The 12,885-nt window shown below is 40.4% G+C and overlaps 1 pseudogene; it reads left to right on the top strand.

The window, feature by feature from the left end:
* RN7SKP146 (RN7SK pseudogene 146) lies at positions 9,341–9,584 on the top strand (annotated as a pseudogene).

The raw sequence follows: 12,885 nt of genomic DNA, 5'->3' as shown, positions 1-12,885 counted from the left end.
TATCCCAAACATCCTCTCCGTATTCCTGGATGATGAACGTTGGCTTGGGAGGCATGTTTACTCTAGGCAATATTTTTCTGAGGTTATTATACTCTGTGTGTGAGGAAGATTCATCTATGTATCCACTTTATCTTTTGGGAGTACATTTCACCTGTTGTTATTTTTAACATCTTCCCTTGATTGACCTGCTCGTGCTGGACCTCTTTAAATTATTTCTAATTCTGACAACATCCTGACAAGGTAATATAATTCCACTTACTTTACAAATAAAGACACTGAGGCTTCAAGAAGTAATTTTTCCCCAGACCAGCTAGGAAATGGCTGTGCAGAGCTTCAAACCCAGGTCTGTCTTACTAGGAGGCTGATGACTTTGATACTTCTACCTGAGATGGCAAAGTCTGTGTCTCTTCTCCCTGACGTCATCTAATGAAGATCTATGCTGTCTGAGCACTTAATGCCTAAGAATCTTCCATTTGGTGCCTTCCCCTTTCCCCTTTTTATATCTTTATAAATTTAACAACAGCTCTTTTGTATAGCAAAGAATGCATCTTTGTGGCACATAACTTTAAAAATAATAACATCACCAGATGCACACATCCAAATGAGTGTGGGTTGCCTTGATGATTAGAGACGTATTCCAGTGAGGCTGTTGCCAGTCACCGTCTTTCTTGTGCTTCTTTTTTAAAGAAGTACCTTCAAAGCCAGTTTACAAAACATTCAAAGAAAGTAGCCTTCTCATTTAGGTGGCATTTACTGTTTTAAATCACGAACGAAAATATCCAGCTTCCCCAGCCGCTCTTTTCATCAGATTTGACCTCAAACAACTTCAGGCTAATTCAAAAAATGAAGCCCAGTCTCCATGGAGAAAGACTTGCCTCTGGAGAATGTTCAGAGGAATGTACTGGAGGTTTTTTGGTTGCCACCAAAATCGTAGTTCCAAAAATGTTCTGAGCCCAGTAGCACCATTGGTTAAGTATGTAACCTTTGAAGGGGACACATTTATTGACTGGGCAATTATCCCCTTAATTTACAGATAAATAACTGTAAAATAATTTGACAAATTGATCAAACTAAAGAGTTGGGGTGGTGGATAGTATATTGGCTTTGAGCCTGGATCCTGGAGCCAGAATGGGTTCCAATCTTTCCTTTACCACTTACTAGGTAGGTAATATTGCACAAATTACTCAATCTCTCCATGCCTTAGTTCCCTGTCTTGTAAAATAAAGATAATAATGGAATATGTAGAAGCTCCTAGACAGTGCATGGTACAGAATAAGTGTTATTTTAAGTGCAAATGTTAAAATCATATATGTCACTTTATAATACCATCTTGAATTATACATATATTAGGCAAGATTCCTAACAAAGCAGACACATTTCCCATAAGCAGTCATCATCAACTAGAGTAATAACATGTTCTTATGTAGGGAAAGTAATTTTGTGTGGTCGCTAACATCAAAATGAAATCTGCAACTCTCTATCGAAACACATCCTATTTCATTTTACATCATAGAGACTCATATTGAAGTGGAGTTGCCTAGTATGATATTACAACATCAATAGCCTGAAATATCTATGGCATTTTGGTAAAATATTCATCTAACCCATACCTCCATACCCTTAATGTCAGAACACAATCCTTAGGCAGGGCAGTCCATCTTTGGGCAGGTTTGGTTGTTGAAAAGTCTTCCTGAGACTAAGCTGAAATCTCTCCTTTATCATTCTCTCATAGAAACCCCTTGGAGCCCCATAGAAAAAGTCCTGTTTCTTTGGAGGTCACATGTCTCCAACTATTTTCTTTTTAGGAGAAACAGCCTTAGTTCCTTTAAACCATTTCTCTTTGGATATGGTTTTGTATCCTTTTGCCTTATTTATCTTGCTGGTCTCAACAGACTTTGATTTCCCCAATTTCTCTGCAAATGTACTATTCAGAGGTGAGCATGGGCCTCCAGATTATAGAGATGGGTGTCCCTCCTCATTCAGTGAATTATACTTTCATGAACGTAGCAAAGGAAAACATTCATTTTTATTTTATTTTAATTTTTATTTTGACAGCAGGCTGCACACTTACAAAAGTGCCAAAAGAAAAGACCCAATAGCCAAGAATCCTATATCCAGTGAGAATGTCCTCCAGGAACAAAGAGGGAAATAAAGACATTCACAGAGAAAAGAAAGCTAAGAGAATTTGTCACTAGGAGATCTACCCCAATAGAATGGCTAGGAAGTTCTCTAAACGAAAACAATAGAAGAAGGAACTATGGGGCATAAAGAGGGAAGAAACAACATGGTGAATGAAAATATGGGTCAATATAGTAAGCTTTCCTTTTTTTCTTGAGTTTTTGGAATTATTTGATAGCTAAATCAAAAATAACACTCATCCGGTTTAAAATGTATGTACAAGAAATACCTAAGACAATTATATTATAAATGAGGTAAAGGAATGTAGAGAGGAAACATTTCCATACTTTACTTGAACTGGTAAAATAATGATACCAATATACTGTGATAAGTTATGTACATATAATGAAATACTTAAAGTAACCCCTAAAAAAGCTATGCAAAGAGACACACTAAAAAACACTATAGGTAAATCAAAATGGAATGATTCAAAGTGTTCATTAGCCAATATGAAGCAGAAAAAAAGAAAACAGAGAAATTAAAAATTGAGAAAACATAGAGAAAGCAAAAACATAACAGATTCAAGCTCTTACATATCAACATTTACATTACATGCGAATGTCTATGTACACCAGTAGAAGACAAAGACTGAGTGGATTAAAAATATTAAACCAGGCACGGTGGCTCACACCTGTAATGCCAGCACTTTGGGAGGCCAAGGTGGGCTAATCGCTTGAGGTCGGGAGTTCGAGACCAGCCTGTCCATCATGGTTAAACCCCGTCTCTACTAAAAATACAAAAATTAGCTGGGCATGGTGGTGCGTGCCTGTAATCCCAGCTACTGGGGAGGCTGAGGCACGAGAATCACTTGAACCCAGGAGGCAGAGGTTGCAGTGAGCACTACTGTACTCCAGCCTGGGTGACAGAGTACACCATCTCAAAAAAATATATATATCTATGTACATATATGACCTACTACATGCTGTCTACAAGAAGCTCACTTCAAACATAATAATATAAGTAAGTTGAAAGTAAAAGAATAGAAAAAGATGTATCATGTAAACATTAATCAAAAGAAAGCAGAGTTGTCTATTTATATTGAGATAACATAGACTTCAGAGCAACCACAATTACCAGGGACAGAAAAAGACATTATATAATGTAAAAGGGTCAATCCACCAAGAAGTTATAGCAATCCTAAATTTGGTGCATAAATGTGTATGCACCAAACAACAGAGTTGTAAAATATGTGAAGAAAAAACTAATAGAACTGAAAGGAGAAATTGACAAATCCACAATTCACATTGCAGAGTTCAACACCTCTCTCTCTGAATAATTGACAGACTAAATAAATTTAAATCAGTAGGGTTATCGGAACCCTCAATGACATCATCAACCAACAGTATCTAATCACCGCTTATAGAACACTCCAAACATTCCACCAAACAGCAGATACGCTTTCTTTTCAAGCGCCCACATACATATGTGTGTATATATATATATATATATGCCAAGATAAACTGTATCCAGATCCATTAAACAAAGCTCAATAAATTTGAAAGAACTGAAACTGTACAGAGCATGCACTCTGACTACGATGGAATCAATGCAGAAAGATAAGAGGAAAATGTAAATACTCGGAAAATAACAACACAATTCTAAATAACAAATCAAAGAAGAGGCAGAGAAGGAAATTTTAAAAATACACTGAACTGAATAAAGATTTAAAAACAATATATTAATATTTGTCAGACATAGTTCAAGCAGTATGCAGTACTAAGAAGTAAATTTAGAATACTAAATGCATACATCAAAAAAGAAGAAAAGTCCCGAGTGAATAATGTAAGATTTCACATCGAATATGTAGAAAAAGAAAAGCAAAACAAACTCACAACCAACAGAAGGAGAGAAATAATAAACAGCAGAAATCAATGAAGTTGAAAACAGAAAAGCAGAAAATCCATGAAACAAAGAGCTGATTCTTTGGGGGAAAAAAGTCAACAAAATTGACAAACCTCTGGAAAGACTGACCAGAGAGAGAGAGAGAGAGAGAGAGAGAGAGAGAGAGAGAGAGAGAGAGAGAGAGAGAGAGAGAGAGAGCCAGTTACTAATACTAGGAATTAAACCAGGACTGTCACCATATACCATGTGAACATAAAAAAGATAACAAGGGAATACTACCAACAATACTACACAAATAAATTTTATACCTCAGATGAAATGGACCATATAAACTCATAAACCACAAACTATTGCAACTCATCCAGTATAAAATAGATAACTTGAATAGCTTATACCTATTAAGCAAATTGATTGTATAATTTAAAACTCCCCAAAAAGAAATCTTCAGCTGGGCGCGGTGGCTCATGCCTGTAATCCCAGCACTTTGAGAGGCCGAGGCGGGTGGATCACTTGAGGTCAGGAGTTCGAGACCAGTCTGGTCAACATGGTGAAACCCCGTCTCTACTAAAAATACAAAAAATTAGCCGGGCATGGTGGCGGGTGCCTGTAATCCCAGCTCCTCCAGAGGCTGAGTAAGGCAGGGGAATCACCTGAACGTGGGAGGCAGAGGTTGTAGTGAGCAGAGGTCACACCACTGCACTACAGCCTGGGCGACAAGAGTGAAATTCCATCTCAAAAAAAAAAGAAAAAAAAGTAATCTTCAAGCCCATACAGCTTCACTGAAGAATTCTAACGAAACTTTCAAGAAGAATTGACACCAATAATTCTTCCATAAAATACAAGAAGAGGGGCCAAGGTAGGTGAATTGCTTGAGATCCTCTGGGCAACATAGTGAGACCCCTCTCTACAAAAGAAAAATTTAAAAATTGGCCAGATGTGGTAGCCTGCCCCTGTACTGGGAAGGCTGAGGCAGGAAGATCACTTGAGCCTGGGAGTTTGAGGCTGCAGTGAGCCATGATCGTACCATTGTACTCCAGCCTGGGCAACAGCAAGACTGTCTCAAAAAAAAAAAAGAAATACAAGAAGAGGGCACACTTCCCAGTTCATTTTATGATGATAATATTACCTTAATACCAAATTAGTCGGGCGTGGTGGTGTGACCTGTAGTCCCAGCTACTCAGGAGCCTGAGGCAGGAGAATCGCTTAAACCTGGGAGGTGGAGGTTGCAGTGAGCCAAGATCGTGCCACTGCACTCCAGCCTGGGTGACAGAGCGAGACTCCATCTCAAAAAAAAAAAAAAAAAAAATTACCTTAATACCAAAACCAGACAGAGACATTGCAGGGGGGAAAAAAACCTACCAGCCCAGATCCCTCATGAACACAGATGCAAAAATCCTTAACAAAATATTAGCAAATAGAATTCAGCAATATAAAAAAAAGAATTATACATCATGACCAAATGGGGTTTATTCCAGGAATGCAGGCTGGTTCAATAATAGAAATCAATCAATGCAACCCACTGCAGTAACTAAAGAAGAAAAACCACATAATCATATCAATACATGCAAAAAAATTTGACAAAATTTAACACATTTATGATATAAATTCTCAGAAAAATTGGAATAAAGGGTAACTTCGTCAACTGGATAAAGATTTAAAACACCTACAGCTAACATTATGCTCAATGGTGAAAGACTGAATACTTTCCCCCCAAGATCAGCAACAAAGAAAGAATGTTCACTTTTACCACTCTTATTTTAATATAGTGCTGCAAGTTCTAGCCACTGCAATAAGGCAAGAAAAGGAAATAAGAAATACAGACTAGAAAAAGAAATAAAACTGTCCCTATGTGCAGATGACATGATTATGTATACAGAATATCCTAAGGGATGTATTTGAAAAATTCCTAGAACTAAGAAATGAATTCAGCAACATAATAGGAAAAAAGATACACAGGCAAACATCAATTATATTTCTATAAATGCAATGTACCATTGCTATATGCAATTGCTAATTGAAAATAATATGGGGTTGGGTTCAACATATAAAGAGCTTGGAAGTCATCACTTCTGTCTTCAAAACAAGAATTAAGTTGGACAAATTGAAAATCAATAACTCTTCTTAGATCCATTAGAGAACTGAGGCTATGGAACAAACTTCAGCAGACGCTTTGTGTGGAGGCCCTCACACTTTCCTGAGTTTTACCTCCAGGAACCCCACCAGACTCTCAGGGTGAAGATCAAGAGAAATCTCCTTGTGCTTCTGACAGGGAGAGAGGAAAAGTAGCAATTTTGAAACACCCCCAGAGCCCTCTGTTATCCTTAACAAAGCCAGACTGCAGGGAAACTATTTTACCACAGCTTGATAGACTGTGGTTTTACCAAAGCCTACCAACCTGGGGTAATGGATACCCCCAACTCCAGGCCACTCTAACATGCAGAAAGGGAAAGGGAAGTACTCAGGCTTATTAAAAGACTGAGACCTGATCACAGGACTGCTGAATACTTAAGCCCACCCTCCCACATTACCACCACACCCGTAAGGCTCCTGTATAATAAGAGGGGTTACAGCTAAAGAACTTCAAGCCTCACACCATATTCACGGAGACTCTGTGGAAACACAAACATAACAGGAGAGACAAAAACAAGGGCACCAGAGGAAATTTTAGCCTCTGGCACCAAAGTTACAGCAAAGAGTAAACACAGCCTAACTCCAAGCCAGATAAACATAAAACCTCATATTAAAGGCCTGTTTACCTCAATTACTTTTATCTGATACATCATGTCTTGTTTTCAACAAAAAATGATAAGGGACATCCTAAAAGGAAAAAACGCAGTCTGAGGAGACAAACCAAGCATAGATACAGACTCAAATATAACCGAGATTTTGGAATTATCAGGCTAGAATTGAAAATAACTAATTAATATGCTGAAGGCCCTAATGGAAAAAGTGGAAAATATGAGAGAACAAATGTGTATGTAAGCAGAGAGATGGAAACTCTAGGAAAGAATCAAAAGAAAATGCTAGAAATAAAAACCACTGTAACAGAAATGAGGAATTGTTGGGTATGATAGAATGGCGCATTTGTCCCACCTACTTGAAAGGCTGAGCTGAGAGGATAACTTGAGCCCAGGGGTTCTAGGCTAGCCTGAGCAACATAGTGAGAACTGGTCGAAAGAAAGAAGGAAGGAAAGAAAGAAAGAAAGAAAGAAAGGAAGGAAGGAAGGAAGGAAGGAAGGAAGGAAGGAAGGAAAAAGAAAGAAAAAGAAAGAAAGAAAGAAAGGAAGGAAGGAAGGAAGGAAGGAAGGAAAGAAAAAGAAAGAAAGAAAGAAAGAGAAAGAAAGAAAGAAAGAAAGGAAGGAAATAGAGAAAGAAAGAACGAAAGAGAGAAAGAAAGAGAGAAAGAGAGAGAGAGAAAGAAAGAAGGAGAGAGAAAGGCTTTGAAGGGCTTATTAATAGACTGAACAGAGCCAGAGGAAGAATCAGTGAGCTTGAATATCAATAGAAACTTCCAAAACTGAAATACAAAGAGAAGAAAGAATGAAAAAGAACAGAAAATGCAAGAATTGTGGGACAATTAAAAAAGGTCTGATATATGTGTGAGGGGGATACCAGAGAGAGAAGAAAAAAAGGAGCATAAACAGTGGGCAAAGGACACAAACAGACTTCATCAAAAGAAGACATACAAATGGCCAATGGGCATATGGAAAAACGCTTGACATCACTACTCATCAGGGAGATGCAAATCAAAACCACAATGAGATATCATCTTACCCTGGTTAGAAAGGCCATTATTATAAAGACAAAAATAATAGATGCTGGTGAGGATGCAGAAAAAAAAGGGAACTCATATACTATTGATGGGAATGTAAATTAATACAGCCATGATGGAAGAGTATGGAGGTTTCTCAAAAAACTTAAAATACATCTACCACATGATCCGGCAATCCCATTACTGGGTATTTATCCAAAGGAAAAGAAATCGGTATATTAAAGGGATACCTGCACCCCCATGTTTATTGCAGCACTATTCACAATAGCCAAGATATGGATCAACCTCAGTGTTCATCAATGTACAAATGGATAAAGTAAAATGTGGTCTATATAAACAATGGAACACTATTTGGCCATAAAAAGAAAAAGCAATGAAATCTTGTTATTTGCAGTGACCTGGATGGAATAAAAGGTCATTATCTTAAGTGAAATAAGCCAGACACGGCAAAACAAGTACTACATGTTCTCACTCATATGTGGGAGTTAAAAAGGCTGATCTCATGGAGGTAAAGAGTAGAATGATAGATACCCAAGGCTGGGAAAGGTATGTGGGTAGAGGGGATGAAGACAGGTTGGTTAATGGGTACAAACACCCAGTTAGACAGAAGGAATAAATCCTAGTGTTTGAGAGCAGAGCAGGGTGACTAGTTAACAACAAGGCATTGTATATTTCAAAATTGTTACAAGAGAGGACTTGAAAAGCTCCCAACACATAGAAACGATACATACTCAAGGTAATAGTCCAAACACCTTCACTAGATCATTTACACATTCTATGCAGGTAATGAAGTATCACATGTACCCCATAAATATGTAAAATACTATGTATCAATTAAAAAGTTGGCACAAGTTAAAAAAACACAAAGGAACAGAAGAAATATTTGAAGTAATAATGACTGAGAATTTTCCCAAATCAATTACAAGACACCATACCACAGACTTAGGGAGCTCAGACTACACCAGAAAGGATAAATAGCCCCAAGTCTATACATAATTATATCATATTCAAACTGTAGGAAATCAAAGACAAAGAGAAATTCTCGAAAGAAGCCAGAGGTATGAAACCACCTTACCTGCAGAGAAACAAGAATAAGAATTATATCATTATCTTCAGAACCACACAAGCAAGAAGAAAGTGGAGTGAAATATTTAAAGTATTGAAAGAAAAATACACTAACCTAGAATTCTCCCCGTGAAATTATCCTTTAAAAGTTAAGAAGGCTGAAGACCATCCTGGCCAACACGGTAAAACCTCGTCTCTACTAAAAATACAAAATTTAGCTAGGCATGGTGGCACACGCCTGTAACCACAGCTACTCAGATGGCTGAGGAATGAGGATCACTTGAACCTGGGAGGCAGAGTTTGCAGTGAGCCAAGATCAGGCCACTGCACTCCAGCCTGGACAACAGAGGGAGACTCTGTCTCCAAAAAAAAAAAAAAAAAGGTGAAGAAGAAACAAAGACTTTCTCAAACAAGCAAAAATTAGAGAATTTGTACCAGTAGACCTGCCTTGCAAGAAATGTTAAGAGAAGATCACTAAGAGTTGGATGTGAGGGCAATCTGGCTGCGACACTGTCACCCCATTGACTACCAGGGTTTATTCTGCTTGGCTGATCTAGCTGGCTAGGCGGGTGTCCCCTTCCTCCCTCACCACTCCATGTGCGTCCCTCCAGAAGCTGTGTGCTTGGTGGAAGAAGACGACCATCCTTGATAGACAAGGACCAGTCTTTGGTCAAGGGTATACGAGTAGCTGTGGTCCCCTGCTGGAACCTCCAAACAACCTCTCAAGAGTAAAGAAAAAGTATGTAGTTCAGAAATTCACATCTACTTAAAGAACAGCATTAGAGAAGGAATAAAGGCAAAATATAATCTTTTATTTTTTCTTATTTATAATTGAAAACAGTTTTCTCAACATAATAATAGCAAGTGGTGGCTCACGCCTATAATCCTAGCACTCCGGAAGGCCAAGGCGGGCAGATCACCTGAGGTCAGGAGTTCGAGACCAGACAGACTAATATGGCAAAAGACTGTCTCTACTAAAAATACAAAAATTAGCCAGGCGTGGTGGCGCATGCCTATAATCCCAGCTACTCTGGAGGCTGAGGCGGGAGAATCACTTGAAGCCGGGAGGCAGAGGTTGCAGTGAGCTGAGATCGTGCCACTGCACTCCAGCCTTGGCGACAGAGCGAGACTCTGTCTCAAAAAAAAAAAATAATAATAATGATAGCAATAATGTTTTCAGTGATTACAGACACCCTAGTGTTGGCACAATAGGAACATGAATGGAGCGCTCATTGTGGCAGAGATGGGGGCTGTACATGAGCCCAATAGCAGGGTCCCTCATTCATCAAGGATGATGAATGCAGAACAGCACCATCCCTCAAGGAGACCAGCCAGTCTCTTGATGTCAAGTGATCTACACTAGACTCCGTCTATCCTGGAAAGAGCAGGAACTCATCTTGACTGGGCTCAACGCTTATTTCAGTCATCGGTTGGCCTTTTCTGCTTGTAAAGCTTCAGCCAGAACATCTGAGTATTTATTCTATTGACACAAGATCCCACATGGCATCACATTGAACCAGAGGACCCATTTTACAAGAATGGAGGTGCAGCAGTGGGCACATGACCATGAAATCCACTGACCCTATAACACACTGACAGAGCAATGGGAAAGCCTCTGCAGCGCAGGCTCTGACATGATGACCAGTGAGAATGCAGTGCCCATTCTCCGGGATGCAGCATGTAATCCAAATGAATAACCAGTATATGGTGTGCTATCTCCTAGGTAGAACACATGGGTGCAGCAAATCAAGGGTGGAAACAGTTCTTACCATAATCCCAGTCATCTCCTTTTTAATTTCTGCTTTGGTTCCCACGACTTTGGACTCTGTGCATTTAAAGATCTTGGCCCCAGAGAGGGAATGCTTCTACCATAGGCACAGCAAGAGTCTTACTAAATTTCAAATGATGTGTTCTCACCCAACACAATGGGTTCCTTCTGAGAGAGCAGCAGTCAAGGAAAGGAGTCATCATACATGATTGTCCTGATCATCAGGAGGAGGTAGAGCTGCAGGAAAGGAGGAGAAGGGTATGTTTGGCACCCTGGTAATCACTCACCTGTCTCTCAGTGATCCTGCATTCAATTTTAACGTTTAAAAGGAATAAATGTGGCCAGATGCAGTGACTCAAGCCTGTAATCCCAGCACTTTGGGAAGCAGAGGTGGGAGGATAGCTTGAGCTTAGGAGTTCAAGCCCAGCCTGGGAAACATGGCAAAATCCCATTGCTACAAAAAAATAAAAAATAAAAAATATTAGCTGGGCATGGTGGCATGTGCCTGTAGTCCCAGCCACTTGGGAGGCAGAGGTGAGAAGATGGCTTGAGCTTGGGAGATCAAGGCTGCAGTGAGCTGAGGTTATGCCACTGCATTTCAGCCTGGGTGACAGAGCAAGACCCAGTCTCAAGAAAAAAAAGTGGGGGATGGCTGGGGAGGTAAGTGCAACAGCCACAGCCTGAGAAGGGCCTGGTAACTGGGAGCTCAGACCACTCAGGGATGAGGATCTGGATCATCCCACCAGGTGAGCCACCACTTCCATCCACAGAGGTGCCCACTAAGGGTTAGGGGAATCTAGGTCAGGTGGTTAAGGGAAATGAGGAGCACCATTTTTGTCCTCGACAGCAGCTGCTGTGGCAGGGGCTATAGTTTGTCCCTCTAACTTTCCTTTTACAAGTTTCCCTCGGGAAGACAGGTCCATCAGAATCCTGAATTAGCTTCACCCAGAAATTATATAGAAGCCAGTGGATCTGGCTGTGTGCGGTGGCTCACACCTGTAATCCCAGCACTTTGGGAGGCCAAAGCAGGCAGATCATGAGGTCAGGAGATCGAGACCAATCTGGCTAACACGGTAAAACCCCGTCTCTACTAAAAATACAAAAAATTAGCTGGGTGTGGTGGCACACATCTGTAGTCCCAGCTACTCAGGAGGTTCAAGAATTGCTTGAACCTGGGAGGCGGAGGTTGCAGCGAGCCGAGATCGTGCCACCGCACTCCAGCCTGGGTGACAGAGTGAGACTGTCTCAGAAAAGAAAAAAAAAAAAAAAGCCAGTGGAACTAAGTGGTGCAAGGGGTGGACTGTAGTGGAAGCCACAAGGTACTGCCCAGATTCCACCATCCGTACCCCTGCCCTTGGAGCCCCTGCCCTTAGAATTGAAGCCCTCATCCTCTCAGATGCTGGGAGTGTTGGCAGCTGACAGTTCATAGCTGGGTTCTCCTTCCCAGTGATTGCCCTTGGCTGAAGACATCCACCTTGCTCAAGGTCATCCCCCCTTCCTGGGGACTGCTCATGCCCAGTGACTGACAGTCAATGAGAAGTTTTAAAGCACAACTTCCTTGCCCCAGTTTGGAATGCCTTGGGATCAGCCATCCTAGGTCCAGAATTCACCATGGGACCAGCTGACACCTTTGTTGTGACTTGGTTACAGCCCAGCCTCTCTCTGCCCAGTCCTGGTTTCCTCCCTCCCCCACCTGGGTGATCTGAAAAGCACATTCAAATTAATTTTCTGCATACAAATCTCAGACTCAGAGTGCTTCCGATGGAAACCAACCTGCAACAATCCCAAGAGTTGGACCTATCCCTTTCTATGTCTTCTCATTTAAAACATTAAGATATCCTTAAGAAAAAAAAGTCCCTTTAATGTCCTCTGCTTATGTGGAGCATTAGCTTTCTTAATAATATATTAATACCTTATTACTGTTGTATTTTCATCCTTAGCCCTATGCTCTGCTTTTCATCTGTTACGTAGATCATTAGAAAGCAAGAGCTCTTCCATGAGGTCCATACACATCTCATGGGTTTCTTAAACATGAGTCCTGCTTTCTCTTTATTGGGACCATTTGTGATAGCCCCTTGAAAATTACATTTTTAGTTCTTCCCTTTTTTTTTTTTTTTTTAAACAAAGTCTTGCTCTGTCACCCAGGCTGGAGTACAGTGGCGTGATTTTGGCTCACTGCAACCTCCGCCTACCAGGTTCAAGTGATTGTCCTGCCTCAGCCTCCTGCATAGCTGGGATTACAGGTGGGCACCACAACGCC

Source organism: Homo sapiens, chromosome 18, assembly GCF_000001405.40.
Source record: "Homo sapiens chromosome 18, GRCh38.p14 Primary Assembly".
NCBI classification, from domain to species: domain Eukaryota; kingdom Metazoa; phylum Chordata; class Mammalia; order Primates; family Hominidae; genus Homo; species Homo sapiens.
Note: the sequence above shows the minus strand (reverse complement) of the source record. Positions and strands in the feature narration are given on the sequence as shown.